Source organism: Homo sapiens, chromosome 15 (genome assembly GCF_000001405.40).
Source record: "Homo sapiens chromosome 15, GRCh38.p14 Primary Assembly".
Taxonomy (NCBI): Eukaryota; Metazoa; Chordata; class Mammalia; order Primates; family Hominidae; genus Homo; species Homo sapiens.
Window position 1 is genome coordinate 59,169,294 of NC_000015.10, and position 20,290 is coordinate 59,189,583.

Below are 20,290 nucleotides of genomic sequence, written 5' to 3' on the forward strand. Positions count from 1 at the left end.
TACAAGCCAACTGTTAAAATCTTTCTCTATGCCAGTACTGAAGTATTTTGAGAACACACACGCATGTTCAGTAGTCTGGTACCAGAATTAATTTCCACTCTGGGTTCGATTCTGCACACACATCACCCTCTGGTTGCTTTCCTAACTTGGTTCTGATTACTGGCCTAACTCAAGTATAAAGAAATGAGGGGACACTATTATTCATCTTGGCAAGTGTGAGGTTCAGTGACTGCAATACACAGACATCACAAGTTCAAATGACTCACACTTTCTTTTTTTTTCCTTAGAGTCAGAAAAACTTTTAGGCTAAGTACCTCATTTTACTACAGCCTTTAAAAAGGAAAGACCGCAAGAAAGGAACCTTCCAGATAATGAATACTGAACAGGAAGAAGAAAAAGAAGCTGGTGCTCCCATGACAGATTATATCCCCAGAGGCTGTAAAAGAAGACAATAAACAAACAAAAAACAATAAAAGGAAGAAATTTGAGTGTGAACAGTCCCTACAGTCCCTGCTTGACAACCCCCTCAAGGACTTATCAATAAGATAGTAAGTGTCAAAGTGCTTGATACAAGTGTAGCTCAAGGCCAGGCACGGTGGCTCACGCCTCTAATCCCAGCACTTTGGGAGGCTGAGATGAGTGGATCACTTGAAGTCGGGAGTTCAAGACGAGCCTGGCCAACGTGGTGAAACCTTGTCTCTCACTAAAAATACAAACATTAGCCAGGGGTGGTGGCTCAGGCCTGTAATCCCAGCTACTCGGGAGCCTGAGGCAGGAGAACCACTTGGACCAGGGAGGCAGAAGTTGCAGTGAGCTGAGATCACGCCACTGCACTCCAGCCTGGGTGACAGAGCGAGACTCTGTCTAAAACAAAACAAAACAAAACAAAACAAAACAACCACACAAATGTAGCTCAATTAGGATAATTTATGGTCCCAGTCATGAGCACTCCACCAGGGGTCTGAGGGACTGAAGACATACCTGGGCAATAACAGAAAGAACAAGTCACTCTCGGCACAGCGACTACACACACCCTAGAGCTGTGGTTCCCTGACTTTCACCTGCTGTGCCTGCCAAGCACGCTGTGGCCAACCTGGCTTAGTCCAGGCATGGCAGGGCCCCATGCAATGACAAACAAAGCAGGAGCTTCCTGTTGGGTTTCCACGGCAGCCTCAGGGCCCAGCTAGCCAGGAAGAGTGTGGCCAGCAGGCACTGCCCCGCTCAGGTTGGGACCCAGCCAGTGAGCTGAATGTTTAGGAAGGCCTTCAGAAAATCAGTCAGCGCCTAGAGCTTTAAAAAAAAAACAAAAAAAACAATAGCCTTGAAACCTACCTGAGGTGGGGCTGCAAAATGGACACTGCGGACTCATCTGCTTAGCAACTTTACCACATCCTGAGTTGGCACGTTTTAAATACTTCACTGCACTGCACTGCCTGGTCCTTTATCCAGGGAAATTAGGAACAGATAGAATCAGAAACCACAGAGACACAGGCAAGAATGGATGCAACTAGAAATCTGTTTTGGATTATCAGACTGGAACTAGGATTTCCAGCTTGGTACATCAGACGCCTGAGCACATAAAACCCCTGCTTTTTCCTGAGCGCACCAGTTTTGCCTTCTGTGTGGAGTAAGAGTTTGACAGGCGTCCCAATTCCATGTTCATGTGAGAGCAGAACATCTTTAATGCAAAGGCCCAAAGCTTTTCCTGATTAAAGTAGTGTTAGCCTCAGAGGCCCAGGGACACGATTCTTGGAGGAAGCTATGGGGCTCAAGGAGGCCTTTCTTCCATTCTTAGTCTTCATGGATTGCGAGGATTTCCTGTGTCAGCGGAACTTAGTCTAGGAGTTCTTACCATGGGAGGACTTCGGGAGGACTTAGCATGGGAGGACTCCTAGTCTGGGAGTTCTTGGCATGGGAGGACTTCTTAGCATGGGAAGACCTCCTATGCTAAGAACCCCTAGCCTAGGTCCCACTGACGGAGGAGATGCTGACGGCCGGCAGAGGAGCCCTTCTGCCGAGAGGAAGCCAAGGTGCTGCCGGGAGGAGCAAGGGCCCTTCCTGAGGCCTTGTGGAAGCAAACACCACTCCCCACTGCCTGAGAATTGGAGCGAAGAGAGCATCTCACGATGACTCCAGGGCTACAGAGAATGGAGACCAACTTGCACTCCCTAAGGAAGTCCCAAAGAAACTTCCCTTTCAGGACCCTCTGCTCAGGGAAATGGGTGAGGCCTCCAACCTGGGTGAGGTGGACTGGGGGACAGGGCTCTGAATCCTTGGCTCTACTGCAACAAGAGAAATTATTCTCTGAGGTGTTCCATATACCGGGTTCATTTCTAACACGTTTCGGTTACAAGAGATCTGGGTCCCCCTTGATTAGAGGAGCTGTCCGGAGGCAACCTTTTCTTGGTACCTTCTTCCTGACATATCAAGACTTGCTGAGACTAGGGAGTCTTCCCTTTGGGACAAAGGGAAATTCCATTCTCTTGATCATGATTTTGACAGCTGGGAAGCCCAGCCCGGCCTTCCTCCTGGCTGTTTGGAACAGCGGACCGTGATGCTGAGGCGAGAAGGGGCAGTCCTGCCTCTGCACCTCCACTACTCACCTGAGGGACACAGACAAGATCCGTTCTATCTCGATTTTCCGCTTCAGGACTTCTTTCACCAGGCCCTTGTCTGGGCCCTGTTTGACTTTTTCTCGTCCGATTAAGTACAAGCACTTTGGGGTAAGGAGCAGGTCTCGCTTTACACCCTGTAAGGAGAGGAGCTTTAAGAAGCTGGACAGGCCAGGCATGGTGGCTCACACCTGTAATCCCAGTACTTTCGGAGGCCGAGGCGGGTGAATCACCTGAGGTCAGGAGTTCGAGACCAGCCTGACCAACATGGTGAAACCCCGTCTCTACTGAAAATACAAAAATTAGCTGGGTGTGGTGGTGGGCGCCTGCAATCCCAGCTACTTGGGAGGCTGAGGCAGGAGAATCGCTTTAACCTGGGAGGTGGAGGTTGCAGTGAGCCGAGATTGCGCCATTGCACTCCAGCCTGGGTGACAGAGCAAGACTCCGTCTCAAAAAAAGGTGGACAGACATGGTCAATGTGATGACAACAATTCACACAGTGGACTGCTGTTACCAGGACAGGGGGAAGCTGCCTTGGACAGTCAATCTTCACTACTGTTGAGAGGCCATTCCATTCATCACATGACCGGGCCCCATGACAGTGAAAGAGGGCATTGTTCATGATTATTAGGATGACATGTAAAAAATGATGACATTTGACTCTTTTTGACTTAAAAACTGGCAAACTCATATGGAGTCACTTCACATATCAGGACAGCAGGTGTAAAGGGAAAGTCACCAACACCTGTGGTGAACTTAGCAAGGATGCACTACAGCATGTTTCTAAACAGGGGGCAGTGTCTGCATATATTTTCTTGGGAGTTCATAAAATTTTCATTCTAAAATACTGATATATTGTCATTTGAATGATAATTCTCAATAATCTAATAGAAATCTACTTGGGAATTTGTGGGTAACCACTTTATAATGAGTACCGCTGCGAGAGCTAAGCACCCCTGTGTGCATCCAGGGCTGCCGTCACAGCAGCTGGTGCCATGCACAGGTTGCAAGGAATGGTTTGGTTTTAGCAAAACATGCTTCCGTTGTTTATTTCGTTAAATTTTTTTCTTGACCTCCCCGCCCCTGGCAAAAAGCCAAAAGCTCTTAACGGGTCCATGAGCTTCTGAAGCTTCAGATTTTTCTATTAGGACCAAGACTTTATCAAAAGGTATCTAAAGGAGGAGGTGAAAAATCAACTGTTCCTCCTGTGGCTGGAAAAGCCTTACTTATCAGCCACTCTGGGAAAATGGATGAGGATACTCTGCAATATTACTTGATACTCTGAATCCTTTGATTCAACGATTTCACTCCTATCAATTTCTTCTAAAAATATTAGGAGACAGATAGATACACAAAGATGTGTGAAAAGATGCTCACTGAAGTTACGATAGTAAAAAAGAAAAACTCACTAAAAATTGATTCATGAGAAACTGGTTAAAAATAATAAAGCATCTGTCAAATGGAATACTATGCAGCCATGTAAAATAACTTATATTGCTAACTGTATTACTATCGAAAATTCTCGCATTATTTAAAAGACAAACAAAAAACCACTTCAGGACATAAAACAGCATGTAATGTATATCTCATTTTTTGTAAAACTAAATACGCAAATGTATGTTTTCATAAAAACATTCTGAAAGATATGGATATACACAGAATGTTAACAGTGAATGTTTCTGGGCATAGGTGCCTGTTTATCTTTTGGTTTACTGTATTTTCTCTAAATTTTTCTACAACGAACACATTCTGATTTGGTAACAACAAAAGCAAAATAACAAGTTATTAAAAAAATAAGGAATCTGTTTGGTGATCTCAGAGGCAGGCAGTTAGCACGTACCTTGAACCTCCTGTCATACTTGGTGACTGTGTCTGCGAAATCAATCTTCTCCCTCTTGCCCACGAACTGCTGGAGTTCTGGGTGCTCTTCCATCCCAATATAATCCCCTATAAAGTTCCTGTTAATACTGTTTCTCCTTCTCTCCTTCTTGTTCAATAAGAGGTCTGAGGCTACAATTCCCAAGAGGGTCAAGATGGAAGAAGGATAAGTCAGTCAGAAAAGGGAGGAAAATACTGTGGAAATATACAAAGAAACTCTAAATGATGCAATATTTTTAGCGTGACATTATATGCAAAATAAAATGGAACTTAAAACTTCACTTAAGCTCCAATTTACTCTTCAGATTTATTAAAATCAATGAAACAAAATTGCTAAAATACCTTCTTCTCTCATTTGAACGTATTTCTTCCGGGCCACGAATTTCCTCCATGATTTCTGTATCACTCGAGCATACCCATCATACTTTCTCTCTCTCATCTCTTCTAAAAGAAATAGCTGTGAATGGAGAGAAGACAAATGTGAGCCAAGCCCCAAGCCCCAATCCCTGAACAACACTTTTCTTGTTATTCCAGGGACCCTCAGTTTAGACAATGACACACACGGGAAGCAGCTTCTCTGATTCATGAACGAATATGTGAAACGCTTACTGTGGCATGTTGTTTATTCTCACTATAAAATGACCTATACCTTTTTTTCTTTTAATGGAAAACAATGGGAAATAGGAGAATCTGAGTGTATTCAGTTAGACCTTGTCCTGCCTTGCTACAGTCTCTGTGAGAATCGAATGAGCGATTCAATGCTTCTCCACTTATTCCCCACCTTGATCCAAAGAGTGTATTATTAGGAAGTCAGATCAAGTGAGTGGGTGGAGGCTGTTGCTGTTGTTTGGCGCGGCACTTCTGCATGCAGCCTCTAAACAGAATTTTCCAGTTTCTGCAGGAGCTGGGCTTGTGCTGCTGTGGAAGGAGGGCTGCCCTACTTTCAGTTCCAAGAAAATATAGACTTCCTGTCTCAGGATTCACCAATCTCAGGATTCACCAAGGACCAGCGGAGCAGAGGATAATAACCACAGTGACTGGAGCTGGACGTGAGGTGTGTTAATGAGGACTTGCATTTGCCCAGAAAGGCTGGGGCTGTTTAGGGACCACATCAGCCTCTAGCAGGTCTTGAGAGTCCGGCCATTTTACCAATGAATGCTGACAGCTGCGCCTCAACCAGGCCTTGGAATGATAAAGGTGACAGCAAACAGCTGTAGTGAGCCGAGTGCCCACTATGGGGCAGAAGTCACCCTAGATGATTTCCACACAGTTTCATTCAACGCCTCCACAGCTACATGAGCCGCATACTCTGTCATCTCTATTTTACAGATGAGAACATTGGAACTAAGACTGGGTGGGGCTAGAAAGTGAACCTAGGTCTTTCAGGCTCTGCCAGGCTCCTCCTCATTTAGACACGCAAAGCTTTCTCTGTAAATCTGCACTTGATCCACTTGTAAAATAGTAGGAAACCTTCTCATTTACCTTGAGAGTGGCTTACATGACTCTCTAGGAAAAAAATAAAATCAACCAATAAAAATCCAAAGTAAAGATGATGAACAGTCATTGCAAAAATGTTCCAGAAGTAAACAAGCCAATGTGGTTTGAAGGCAGCTGGGCTTGATTTGTTGTCTCTGTTTATCCGGGTGCATGCTTGGGAGACAGACCTATCCTCTCCTGCCACTCAACTTCTCTCCTCACAGATCCATCTGTGCAGAAACAACAACTCAAACTCCAAACACCAGGGGAGGGACCACGTAATTCCCCTGGCTTCAGTGCTGTAAACAATAGGCATAAGGACAGATTTCTAAACCCCAAGTGGAATGCACAGATTAGCAACTGGACAGAATGTTTAAAATCTGAGCCCTGCAGTTGCCTGTTGTAAGAATATCCATTGATATTTCTTATCTTGTGTATTGGGTTTCTGAGTAAGTCTTGTTTCCTTCTTCTTTCCCAGAACTATTTTGGGCGTATCACAGAAAATACACTTGTGACTCAGAGAAAGGATGAACAGGCAAACGATTCCCAACTTCCTAGAGACTATCTCAAAGATTCGCTGGATTTTAGATTTCTTTTTAAAAGCCCAGGGGGTTAGAAATTAGGGAGGTTCAAGAAAAAACCTTGATAACACAGATAAGGAGAGAATAAAAACCAAACCAAACCAAAAAACAACAACAGGAAAACACACAAAACAACCTTAAATGAGAAAAGCCAAAAGACATGGATACATTTAACAAAACAAAAACAAACCCTATGGTGTCTGATGTGGGTTTTGTTGTTGTTGTTGTTGTTTTCCGAGGCAGAGTCTTGCTCTGTCACCCAGGCTGGAGTGCAGTGGCGCGATCTCGGCCCACTGCAAGCTCTGCCTCCTGGGTTCACGCCATTCTCCTGCCTCAGCCACCTGAGTAGCTGGGACTACAGGCGCCCGCCACCATGCCCGGCTAATTTTTTTTGTATTTTTAGTAGAGATGGGGTTTCGCCGTGTTAGCCAGGATGGTCTTGATCTCCTGACCTCGTGATCTGCCGGCCTCAGCCCCCCAAAGTGCTGGGATTACAGGCGTGAGCCACTGCGCGCGGTTATGATGTGGGTTCTTAAAGCAAATAGGTAATTTTGTATATTCAGAACATTTACTATTAAGGTGAAACCACATGGTAGGTTTTCTTTTTCCTTTTTTTTTTTTTTTTCTTTTTTTTAGAGAAAGGGTCTTTCTTGATCTGTTGCCCAGGCTGGACTGCAGTGGTACAATCATAGCTCACTGTAACCTTGAACTCCTGGGCTCAAGTGATCCTCCAACCTCAGCCTCCTGAGTAGCTAGGACAGCAGGCGTGTACCACCACACCCAGCTAATTTTAAATTTTTTTGTAGAGAAGAGGTCTAACTGACTTGCCCAGTCTTGAACTCCTGGCCTCAAGTCATCTTCCCAACTCAGCCTCCCAAAGTATTGAGATTAGAGGCATGAGCCACTGTGCCCAGCCAGATTTTAAGAGTCAACTTTTGTGAAAGTATTTGCATGTCAGGGCTAGATGGGGATGTATGCGTTTGGGGCAGGGGAGAGAGCGGAGGTGATGGTGTGCGTGTGTGAGTGCATGTGTCAAAGATGGGGGAAAGGAGAGTCAAATAATGGTAATAACACAATTGAATGTAAGGCAAGGAAAAGGACAGCCAAAAATAAATCTTGATTTTGAATATAACCCCCTCCAACGCAACTGAAGCAGAAAAAAAAGTATTACAAATATTGAGGCTGTTTTAATTATATATGAAAACCTCACAAGTTGAAAAGTAACAGCGGGTATGAAACAAGGAGTTCTGCATTGTACCGATAAATCACTCCATCCCATTTTAGAAAGAACAGGAACTGTTCTGTGGGTTGCTTAATGGCGAATGACACAACATTTTCACTTTATATTTGGAAATGAAAATTCTTGTGAAGCTACAAATAACTCAAAGTAGAAAAATGCTACCACAAACGTGTCATAAATGGGTTCCATCTCTGTGTGCCGCTTATTTAATAATCTTGATGTCTCACAAAGCCATTCAGTTATAGCCATTATCATTCCTGAGTCTCAGGCTGATCCTACGAGGCAGGCAGAAACAGTGGCTATGGGGCCCACCTTAGAGGAGAAGAAAACTAATGGCAAGACTGGGATCTGCCTGAAGTCAAATGCTTCCCTTTTTACTGTGAGTTCCCATATGATTTCCCCTTGGTCTGATGACTGATTTCTGCCAAGTTCATCACTGACTCTTGAAATAGGTCTTGTGATGGTTAAGGGAGCCTTGAGAAACGATGATGCTGAGCCTCGGTTCCAGCAGTTTCTCCAGCTTAAAAAGGAATGAATGTCTTTATTCCGCAGCCCTGGAGCAAACTGGGCAGAAGAACTGAACAGAACTTCCTGTGGACATTCATGGGGCTCACTGACCACACTCTCATCAGGAAAGAAAGAAGTGTCTCTAAATGAAGCTGTAGCAGACTGTTTGTGAATTGTAAATGTGTATTATGAATGCCTTACTGGTAAGTACTGTGTTCTATAAACCAGAGATTTCTCCTCCCACCTATTTTCCCCCTCACAGTCCTTTCTAGGCTCCCCCACAGCCTTCTAGGTACAATCCTGGGAATTCCCACCCGGCACTCTGCTGCACCTTCCAGGAGGAATCCTGAGACTATGCGTAACTGACTTGGTGTCAACTAACCATGGGTGGGACACTGAAGTCCCTCTTTAGCTTAGACACTCTTAGAGATTAAGTAACTATTGAGCATTTTCTGTGTGAGGCTTTGGGTATATAAACACATATGGAACAAAGAGTCCCTGCCCTCCAGGAGTGTAGCAGCTAGAGAGGAGCGAGACAGTCAGCGAGGAAGGAGCCACTCTCTGATGCCCCTTTTTCTACCTGCTTAGTGCTCTGCAGGAAATGAACCGGGCAGTGATGGGCTATGGAGAGCAGGTGTTTAGGGAAGGACCCACTTAGACCAGGAAGGGAGGGAAGGCTTCTTTGAGGAGACAACATTGATGGCATGAAGCGAAGAATGAGAAAAAGAAGCCAGCTGAGGGGTGGAGCAGGGCTGGCGGGGGCCCCGCGGGAGGGAAGAGAGTGGAGAGCCAGCCAAGCACTCACAGACTCGGGGGCTTTGATGAACACTTTACTCCTCCCCAGCTGGAACTGGTCGCTGTCCATGTTGACCGACTGCAGCAGGTGCAGGACGCCTTGCTTCTCCTCTCCCTGCCAAGAAGGCCAGGTGGCTTTGGTCAGAATGGCATACCTGTGGGGACATTGGGGAGAAGAGAATCACACTTGGGCGGGACCGCACTGGTTTTCTACCCGGGCAAGGCAGCAAGAGCTCTGCTCTGAAGGTGCCCAGTGCTGCAAAGTTACTGATCATCTGTTTACCAGCGTTCGAAGGCTCAGGCGTGGACTGCGATGACTGCAAAAATCCCGAGTCTGGGATGCTCGTTCCCGAGCTGCCTCCTGCTTCTTTCCCTTTCCCAGCATTCCCACGTCAACACCCTGGTGAAAACCTGCGTACTCTTTCTACCACTGTCTGAAAATAGCATTGTGGAAGGCCACCAGGGGTGGTCTTTAGGCAAAAATCAAACGGTCTTGTCTCAATAATCATCTCCCCTGACTTCTTCAGGGCATTTAACACTTAATGCAAAGAGTTTTATAAAGCTCCTGCTAAACAGCTATTATGACAACTGTGTATCAACTTTCACCTTTGAAATTCTGTGCATCTGGGTCACGAGGCCCTTGGGATCTGGTCGTTGGCTGTTCTCCAGCCTCGCCTCTTCATTCTCACTTTGGCTTGCTGCATTTCTTCGAGAATGGCCTCTTCTTCATGCCCACCATGCCCTTTCCTTCCTCGGCGCCTCTGCCCCTGCTCTCCCCTCTACTGGTGTGCTGCTCCCCAAACTCATCACTCGGCTGGCTCCCGCTTGGGTGTCTCACCTTCAGTGACACTCCCAGACAGGCCTTCTTGGACCAAAAATCAAAAACTGCTCTCTTGTTAGTTTCTCTCATAGCAAGTACTATTTTTCCTTCAGAGCATGTACTCTAATTGGTAGTTATATTCACGGTGGTGTTTATTTGGTTAATTTATGCCTCCCAGATGAAGGTGAGAGCTCCAGGAGACCGGATGCCACATCTGTGTGGCTCCTGCTGTACATCCAGAGCCTTAAACCGTGCCTGGCACACAGCAGTCATAATGAACATTCCTGGCTAATGCGGATGGGTGCTCTCTCTGCATGAGGTGCTGTGATTGAAGCTTTTGATGTACGATCTCCTCTTACTCCTACAGCAACCTGATCAGGTTGGTTTTCCATTTTGCAGAGTAGGAGACAGAGGCAAATTATGACTTGCCCAAGGCTACTTAGCCATTAAGCGTCAGAGATGGGATTTGAATCCCTCTCTGTCTCTTTCATGATGGCACTGTAAAAAAGCCATGGACTGGTTCACATTTAAATATTTCTTTTAAAGATTATCCAGTCTACTATACATGCCTATGTTAGAAACATTACTATTATGTCAGAGGCTGATATAATCAAGGAGAGACAAACACATTACAGTTTGTCAAATATGGATAGAATCATCATGGGTATGTGTGGGTGTGAAGTTGGAGGGCGTGGCCCACGTGAGAGCACATCCAGGGCCCAGGCAATAGGCCCCCAGGCCTTGAGCGAAGCCAGGGCCCTCCTTTGTTCCCAGAAACTACTGTCACGATTAGACTGATTTATGACAGCCAAGGGAGAAGGGAACCTTGAGTGGCCCTGCCAGCTGGTTGCGACTCAGGTGATTTTAGGAGCCTTCTCTGCTCCTCTCAAATGTCTGCATCTTGCCTGATAATATCATAAACTTCCTAGAGAGGTAAATCCTCCTATTCCCTAATTAGAGATAAAAAGCTTAAAAATGAAAATGCCTAGTGGAAGTCACACATTAGCATGAATAACATTCATATATGTTATAAGGATGTTAATTAAAACAAATTAAGCTACACATAAATGACTAATAGCAGAACCTGTCTAGATGTGATTGGGGGAGTTAGTGAAAATGAGTAGGTGCTAGGAATCTAATTGGGTGAGGCAGAAAGTTCATGGAGGGTAGAAGTGAGAAGGAAAAGACTATAGACTTTCAAGGTGACAAGCTTCTGAGAGTACAGTTTTGCTTGGCTTGATCTAACCTAAAATTATAAACTAAAGTATATTTATCGTGCAACTGGAAATGGGTCTTTATGGCAATTCACATTTTTTCCTACAAAATTAATGCTGCGTTTCTCTTTTTTTTTTTTTAATGGTAACGAACCTTGCAGAGACTTTCTCTCCCTTATCCTGACAAGGCCTCCAGTGTTGAGGGTCTTGGCAATACATGGGAATTGCCTGGGGCTTCCTTTGCTTCCATGAAGCCTGATACATCCTCACCCCATCCTTTGGTATCGCACTGGAGACCAGGGCATAAACCAACAACACATGTTCTCCTACCAAGTGTACCCAGGCCACTCTCTTTCTCTAGGATATACTCATGGGAACAGGTTGCACAGGGCAATGGTGCCCCTGCCTAACTGGTGCCTGTGATAATTTTGGACAGATGGCAATAATAGCTTACATTCCTTTCATCACATATTTTCAGTTTAAGACTCAAATATGCTAATATTTCCTCTCAAGGCCTTTGTGCCAGCTCCTCTTTCTGCCTGGAAATCTGTTCCCTGCTCTTGTTATCTCTTGGATCACTGATCCCATGTTTCCTTCTCAGAGGAAATGCAGCTGGGACCCCAGGGACTCCCAGCTGCTGGCACTTGAGATTAAGGATGTTTCTGACCTCGGAGGACACAAACATCCTGGCAGCCAGGAGAACGCTCTCCACCACTCCGTGCTTTCCTGGGCTTCCTATTCCTCCTTCTCTCTTGCCCGTGAAGTGGAACGCCTTTGCTGATGAGGCATCCCTTTATCATCCCCACATTCTGAGAGGCTAAGGTCAGAGGAAGCATGCTTGTGAGGAAGTGTAAATCATGCTACAAGATAGACTTTGCAAATCTGTTATGTTTCTACCACATTCTTCCTCCTAAGCATCAGAATCTGTATTTGGGCTTATTTCTGCCAACCACAGAAAGAAACACACATTGCCTAGCTCAGAGAGGTGTTTTCTGGAGAACTTATTTTCCAAGACACAACATGGCTATTTGTAACAGTTTTTTAACACTTTCTGAAGGCATAAAAGTTGTAGTGGGGAGATGGTGTAAATGGGTTCTTCCTACTACTGCTTCAAGTAGCACAGCACTTACTTCAAGAGCATGGGGCCCACCCATGGGGGAATTAAGGCATCTTTTGATTTTTGCTCTCCAATATTCAGTCAAGAGGGATGGTTTTGATAAATATAAAGGATTTTCCAGAGAGGAAACGAACACACACTAAACACACAGAATATTTCCTAAGCAAACACTATGCTCTGGGTAGTCTGTGAGCCATGGCTCTGTTTAGGCCTGTGAACTTCCTATATAGGGAGGGTGTATAATACATGCAGATGTGGATAGTTGTGCTGGGTATTAATATATCCTTTCCCTTCAGGCTTTTACTTTCTGTTTCTCATTTGGCAGCCTTTCTGTGGACACCTAGAGAGCAATTTTATAAACAAAGCCTTTCCTCTCACCTTTAGAGAAAATAAAGTTATGAGATGGTTCAATTACTTGTAGAGCATCATAGGATGAGACAGTTGGCGGTGGACTCTGGATGAATTCTGCATGACCAAGATCCCAGACTCATGCGTCTTATGGAAAATTGTGTTCTCTCCAGAGAAATACCCCCGCCCACTGATATAGTGGGACTTCAAGCCACTTTTGAGTGGACTGCTTCAATAACAGTTTTGAAATATAGTGTGGGGGATTGAAAATGTCCTTTTTATAGAAAAATAATTTCTTTCCAAACTTTGATTCTCCTCCCAGTATTCTTTTTTTTTATTTTTATTTTTGAGATGGAGTTCCACTCTTGTCGCCCAGGCTGGAGTGCAGTGGCGCAGTCTTGGTTCACTGCAACCTGCGCCTCCCGGGTTCAAGCGATTCTCCTGCCTCAGCCTTCTGAGTAGCTGGGACTACAGGCACCCGGCACCATGCCTGGCTAATTTTTGTATTTTTAGTAGAGGCGGGGTTTCACCATTTTGGTCAGGCTGGTCCTGAACTCCTGATCTGAGGTGATCTGCCCACTGCGGCCTCCCAAAGTGCTGCGATTATAGGCATTGAGCCATCTTGCCCAGCCCCAGTATTCTCAAACCAAGAAAAGTATGACAACAATAAAAGAGCCTACTTTTTGACAATAGAGACAAGGCTATTTGTCTGTTCTGAAAGGAAAAGCTTACAGCAGGAGAGCTAAGGGAGGCATCCAAGGATACAAGCATTTCAGTGGAAGTTCCTCAACATAAAAGGAATAACAAATTTCACAAAATGCCTACTCAGAGTGCGGCACAGCGTAAAGTACAGCATGGAATCATGAAGCTGGCATGGCACTCGAGACAGATCCGGATAATCAACAGAGTCAGTTCACACCTCATGCACGTATCACAGGGTCCCTTACACCAGCCAATCTTTTTGGCACCAGGATTCATGGAAGATAATTTTTCTATGGACGGGGTTGTGGGGATGGTTTTGGGATGAAACTGTTCCACCTCAGGTCATCAGGCATTAGATTCTCAAAAGGAGCGCACAAGCTAGATCCCTCGCACGTGCAGTTCACAATAGGGTTTGTGCTCCTATGAGAATCTAATGCCACCGCTGATCTGACAGGAGGTGGGGCTCAGGCGGTAATGCTCGCTGGCCTGCTGCTCACCTCCTACTGTAAGGCCCAGTTCCTAACAGGCCACAGACCAGTACTGGTCCCCTGCTGCGAGTTGGGGACCCCTGCCTTAGACGGGAAAAAAGAGTGCATAGACTTCCTGCTCTCCTGAGATGGCAGCACTCTCAGCATTGTTTATGGAAGTCAGTTTGGTTGGTTGGTTGGTTTTTAAAACAAGGTAGAAGGAAGGAGGTCTTTCAGAACTGGTTTCTCAAAAAACAAACAAAAAAACCCAGAATAGATTAAAAAAGGTTTGATCAGGTTTTTTTTTTTTTTCTTGTTTTCTTGAGACACAGTCTTGCTCTGTCACCCAGGCTAACTCACTGTGGCCTTGACCTCCTGGGCTCGAGTAATCCTCCTGCCTCAGCCTCCCAGTGTTCTGGGATTACAGGCATGAGCCACTGCACCTGGACTGATAAGTTTTTTTTGGGGGGTGGATACATAGTAGGTATACATATTTATGGGTTGCATGAGATTTTTTTTCTTTTTTACTTTTTGCATGAGATGTTTTGATACAGGCATGCAATGTGGAATAACCACATCATGGAAAATGGGGTGTCCATCTCCTCAAACATTTATTCTTTGTGTTATATGAAATCCAACTATACTCTTTTAGTTGTTTTAAAATGTACAGTTAAATTATATTTGACTATAGTCACCCAGTTGTGCTAGGAAACACTAGGTCTTACTCATTCTTTCTATTTTTTTGTATGCATTAACCATCTGCACCTCCCTTCCCCTTCCCCCACTACCCTTCCCAGCCTCTGGTAACCATCATTTTATTCTCTATCTTGATGAGCTCAATTATTTTAATTTTTAGCTCCCACAAATAAGTGAGAACATGTGATGTTTGTCTTTCTGTGCCTGGTTTGTTTCACTTAACATAATGATCTCCAATTCCATCGTGTTGTTGCAAATGACAGGATCTCATTCTTTTTCTGAGACGGAATCTCGTTCTGTCACCCAGGCTTGAGGGCAGTGGCGTAATCTCGGCTCACTGCAACCTCTGCCTTGGGTTCCAGCAATCCTTTCACCTCAGCCTCCCGAGTATCTGGAATTACGGGTGTGCGCCACCACACCTGGCTAATTTTTGTATTTTTAGTAGAGATGAGGTTTCACCATGTTGGCCAGGCTGGTCTCAAACTCCCGACCTCAAGTGATCCACACACCTTGGCCTCCCAAAGTGCTGGGATAACAGGTGGGAGCCACTGCGCCTGGCCTGGATCTCATTATTTTTTATGCCTGAATAGTACTCCACTGTGTATGTGTAACACATTTTCTTTTTTTTGAGACACAGTCTTGCTCCATTGCCTAGGTTGTATGTAGTACAGTGGCAAAATCTTCACTCACTGCAGCCTCTGCCTCCCGAGTTCAAGCAATTTTCCCGCCTCAGCCTCCCAAGTAGCTGGCATTACAGGCATGGGACACCACACTTGGCTAAGTTTTGTATTTTTAGTAGAGACAGGGTTTCACCACGTTGGCCAGGCTGATCTCGAACTTGTGATCTCAAGTGATCTGCCTACCTTGACCTCCCAAAGTGCTAGGATTACAGGTGTGAGCCACTGCACCCAGCCTGTATCACATTTTCTTTATCCATTTGTCTGTTGATGGATGCAGCTTACTTCCAAATCTTGGCTATTGTGAATAGTGCTGCCATAAACACAGGCGTGAACATATCTCTTTGATATCCTGATTTCCTTTCTTTTGGCTCCATACCTAGGAGTGGGCTTGCTGGATCATATGGTAGCTCTATTTTTAGTTTTTGGAGGAACTTCCAAACTATTCCCCATAGTAGTTATACTAATTTACATTCCCACCAACAGCATACGATGGTTCCCTTTCTCCACATTCTCGCCAGCATTTGTTATTGCCTGTCTTTTGGGTAAAAGCCATTTTAACTGAGGTGAGATATCGCACTGTAGTTTTATTTTGGCTTTCTCTGATGATCAATGATATTGAACACGTTTTCATATGCCTGTCTGCCATCAGCATGTCTTTTTTTTGAGAAATGTCTCTTGAGATCTTTTGCTCATTTTTTTGATTGGATTATTAGATTTTTTCCCCACAAAGTTGTTTGAGCTCCTTCTATATTCTGGTTATTAATCCCTTGTCGGATGGTTTGCAAAGATTTTCTCCCATTTTGTGGGTTGTCTCTTCATTTTGTGGATTGTTTCCTTTGCTGTGTGGAATTTTTTTTTTGAGATGGAGTCTCACTCTGTCGCCCAGGCTGGAGTGCAATGGCGCCATGCCAACTCACTGCAACTTCCATCTCCCTGGTTCAAGCAATTCTCCTGCCTCAGCCTCCCAGGCAGCTGGGATTACAGATGCATGCCACTGCACCTGGCTAATTTTTGTATTTTTAGTAGAGACAGGTTTCACCATGTTGGCCAGGCTGGTCTCAAACTCCTGACCTCAGGTGATATGCCCACCTCGGCCTCCCAAAGTGCTGGGATTATAGGTGTGAGCCACCGTGCCCGGCCCCTCTTAATTAAAAAAGGGTATTTTGGGGTCGGGCATGGTAGCTGATGCCTGTAATCCCAGCAGTTTGGGAGGCTAAGGCAGGAGGACTGCTTAAGCCCAAGAGTTCAAGACCAGCCTGGGCAACCAAGGGAGACCTTATCTCTAAAATAAATAAATAAATAAAATTTAAAAATGATTATCTAAGCCAAAGTTCCTCAACTGACTGTGCCCTGTAGGGGGAACATTAGTCAATGCCTGGATACGCTTTTGGATGTCACAACTCAGAGGAAGGTACACTACTGGCATCTAGTGGGTGGAGGCCAAGAAGGCTGCTAAACATCCCACAATACACAGGACAGACTTCGCAGCAAAGAATCTTCCAGCCTAAAATGTCAGTGGTCTGAGGTTGAGAAAACCTTTTCTGAGCTAGTGTTACTGATCTGTTTAAGGAAGTCTCATAACTAACATCTCAGTTGTGTGTCAGCAAATGGGTGGTGCTATGTGATGCAAAAGCTCTACAAATACCTTTTCTCAACTTCCTAAATATTTCTTTCACATAGTCCTGCTTACACTATAGGCGTACTGACGTCTTTAATTCAGAGAACAAAGAGGGTAAACCTTGTTCCTAGTCTAACTCACCTCCACGGTTATTAGGAAACTCAAATGTGGGGGACTGAGTTTCTGACGCTTTATTATACAAAATCATTAGCTCTTTTTTAAAACCTCTAAATGGTGAGTCGGCTGTCCTAATCTCATAGCAGAAGAAACAACAGCCCTAAATAAGAACTGTCTTATTAGAAATACTAGATTCCAAAGACAGTAATTAACTTCTTCTTCAGTTATATACAATCTGAATTTTAAAAAAAAAAACATTATATCCAGCCCCTGCATAATATATCAGGAAGATGTAATTGTTTCTGATTAAAATGCTCAGTTTGACGCGGTGTGGTCGCTCGTGCTGATAATCCCAACACTTTGGGAGGTTGAGGTGGGAGGATCACTTGAGAGTAGCTGGGGCAACATAGCGAGACCCTGTCTCTACGAAAAGTAAAAAGTCATCTGGGCATGGTGATGCATGCCTGTAGTACTAGCTACTTGCAGACTGAGGTGGGAGAGAATGGCTTGAGCCCAGGAGTTCAAAGATGCAGTGAGTTATGATTGCACCACTGCACTCCTGAGTAATAGAGCAAGACTTTGTCTCTAAATAAATAAATAAAACACTACATTTGGCTTACTTCTTTTTTGTTTCCCTATTCCTTCAAGGAAATTAAATAGATGTAGAAATACAGTGGAACGCCACAGAATCATTAGAGAAGTTAGAGTGATGTAACATTTTAAGGGTACCACATTTTATCCTTTTACAAACAACACAAAATAAGAACAATTTAAGTATAGGTCCTGCCAAATACATGTTAAGGGATATATAAAAATAAGTTTAAATTTATACATGGATTGTACAAAATTTTTGAGGTTAAATATTTTAAGCTTATTGTCTTAAGTGGGTTAAACATTTTCCTGAAATTGTCTTCATACTGTTAATTTATTCAGTCAAGTTAAACCTCCGCTCTTCCTGTGGCACAATTATCAAGAATTCTTGCACTTATGTGTTACACTAAACAGACAGCCTAATGAATACTTATGGCTACTGATTTATTCTACAATAAATAACAGTAAAAGAATTATTATTACAATGCAATGATAAAAAGACAAAACACCCAATTAAAAAATGGCAAAGGGCCTCACAGACATTTCTCCAAAGAGGAAATACAAATGGCTAACAGGCACATGAAAAAATCCTCAATATAATTTGCCATCTGGGAAATGCAAATCAAAACCATCATGAAATACCACTCCACACTCACTAGGATGGTTAGAAAATAACTTATGTTGGCAAGGATTTAGATAAATTGGAAGCCTCAAATACTGCTGGTGGTACAAAATGTGAAGTGGTGCAGCCACTTCAGAAAACAATCAGGCAGTTCCTCTCAAAGGTTAAATGCAGAGTTACCATATGACCAAGCAATTGCACTTTGAAGCATATACCCGAAAGAAATGAAATATGACCACATAAAAACTTGTACACAGATTTTCATAGCAGCATTATTCATAATAGCCAAGAAGTGGAAACAACTGACGTTTATCAACTGATGAATGCATAAGTAAACTGTGGTATATCCACACAATGGAATATTATTCTGCAATTAACAGGAAGGAAGCATGGAAATGCAACAACATGGATGAATCTTATGTTCAGTGAAAGAAGTCAGTCACAGAGGACACATATATGATTCCATTGCTATGAAAAGCATAGGCAAATCTATAGACAGAAGGTAGATAAGTGACTGACTGGGCCCAGAGGCAAGGGGAGAATTGGAGGTTGACAACAAAGGGAAGCGTGATTTCTTTTCAGGGTAAGAAAATGTCCTAAAATTAACGGTGGTGATAGTTGCACAACTCTGTGAATACGTTAAAAGCCATTGACTCGTACGCTTGAAGTGGGTGAATTGTATAGATTTGAATTATAGCTCAATAAACCTGTTTTAAAAAAGGCCAGAGTCACTAGTTCATTACCTCTGTAGGAATTTTTGGAAGATGCGCCGATAGGCATAGCCAGCTCTTCTCACTCGAATGTTCTCTTTCAGACCCAAATATTCGACTTGATGCTTTACCCTGTGCAAAGGAGAAAATGGGGCCTGGACATTACTGGATAATCCTTTCACTCGTGTTCTTACCAGCCAACCCCCAAGCCCCCAGTTCCAAGCTGTAGGGAAACATATTCAGAAGACTACAATTTATAGTGTTCAAACACTGAGCTGACCTCTCAGATGACATAATGCTAATTTTTAAATATTGAAATACAGCAATTAGGCTGGGCGCAGTGGCTCACACCTGTAATTCCAGCACTTTGGGAGGGTGAGGCGGGTAGATCACCTGAGGTCAGGAGTTCAAGACCAGCCTGGCCAACATGGTGAAACCCTGTCTCTATTAAAAATAAAAAAATTAGCCAGGCATGGTGGCACGCACCTGTAGTCCCAGCTACTCGGGAGGCTGAGGCAGGAAAATCGCTTGAACCAGGGAGGCAGAGGCTGCAGTGAGCTGAGATTGCACCACTGCACTCCAGCCTGCATGACAGAGTGAGACTCCGTCTCAGAAATAAAATAAATATAAATAAATAAATAAATAAAAATACAGCAATTAAATAACAGGGCATTACATATCTATTTCAAAGAATAACAGTAACACAAAGACCCATCTATCACCTAGAGTATGAACAAAAATATTGGTTAATCAGAAGGCTAAAGGAAAGAACTTTTAACTTTTGAATTAAATGATGCTAATGCTGGTTTTGTTATTGAACTTAAATTTTAATATTGATTATGACTTAATGGAACTACACTTCTAGGCTTTTCTAATACAAGTTACAAAAGGGCATTTAAAACTATTAATTTCAAGTGTGTACATTAAAAATGGTCTAAAATATATCTAAATTATAGTTTTAGTTGATTTCTTCTTTCTTACAAGAATTTTTTTTTGATACAGGGTCTCACTTTGTCATCCAGGCTACATTGTAGTGATGTGATAGCTCACTGCAGCCTTGACCTCCCCAGGCTCAGGTGATCCTCCTATTTCAGGCTCCTGCGCAGTTGGGACTACAAGCATGCACCACCACACCTGGCTAATTTTTGTATTTTTTGGAGAGACAGGGTTTCGCCACTTTGCCCAGGCTGGTCTCAAACTCCTGAACTCAATTATCTGCCTGCTTTAGCCTCCCAAAGTTCTGGGATTATAGGCATGAGCCACTGTACTCGGCGTGTTTCTTCCTTTCCTTTCCCTTCACTTTCCCTTCCCTTTTCTTTCTTTCTTTCCCTTTCCCTTTCCTTTCTTTCTTTCGAGACAGAGTCTCGCTTTGTCATCCAGGCTGGAGTGGAGTGGCAAACTTTCTTTCCTTTCTTTTTCTTTTCTTTCTTTCTTTCTTGAGTCAGAGTCTCACTTTGTCATCCAGGCTGGAGTGCAGTGGCAAACTTTCTTTCTTTTCT

The 20,290-nt window shown here is 43.9% G+C and overlaps 1 protein-coding gene and 1 non-coding gene across 2 annotated transcripts in view; both read right to left on the reverse strand.

Annotated features, from left to right (window-relative positions):
• MYO1E (myosin IE) overlaps nt 1-20,290 on the reverse strand; it is a 240,438-nt gene that overhangs the window by 36,860 nt on the left and 183,288 nt on the right. Inside the window, exons 18-22 of the mRNA NM_004998.4 lie at nt 18,825-18,923; nt 9,100-9,244; nt 4,833-4,947; nt 4,453-4,622; nt 2,604-2,749 (exon numbers count right to left, since the gene is read on the reverse strand). Of these exons, the coding sequence (NP_004989.2) occupies nt 2,604-2,749; nt 4,453-4,622; nt 4,833-4,947; nt 9,100-9,244; nt 18,825-18,923 (675 nt within the window). The remainder of the gene's footprint in view (nt 1-2,603; nt 2,750-4,452; nt 4,623-4,832; nt 4,948-9,099; nt 9,245-18,824; nt 18,924-20,290) is intronic.
• Nucleotides 1,890-1,969, reverse strand: MIR2116 (microRNA 2116). The gene has a single exon (NR_031750.1). It is a non-coding gene; the product is annotated as a microRNA 2116 (primary transcript).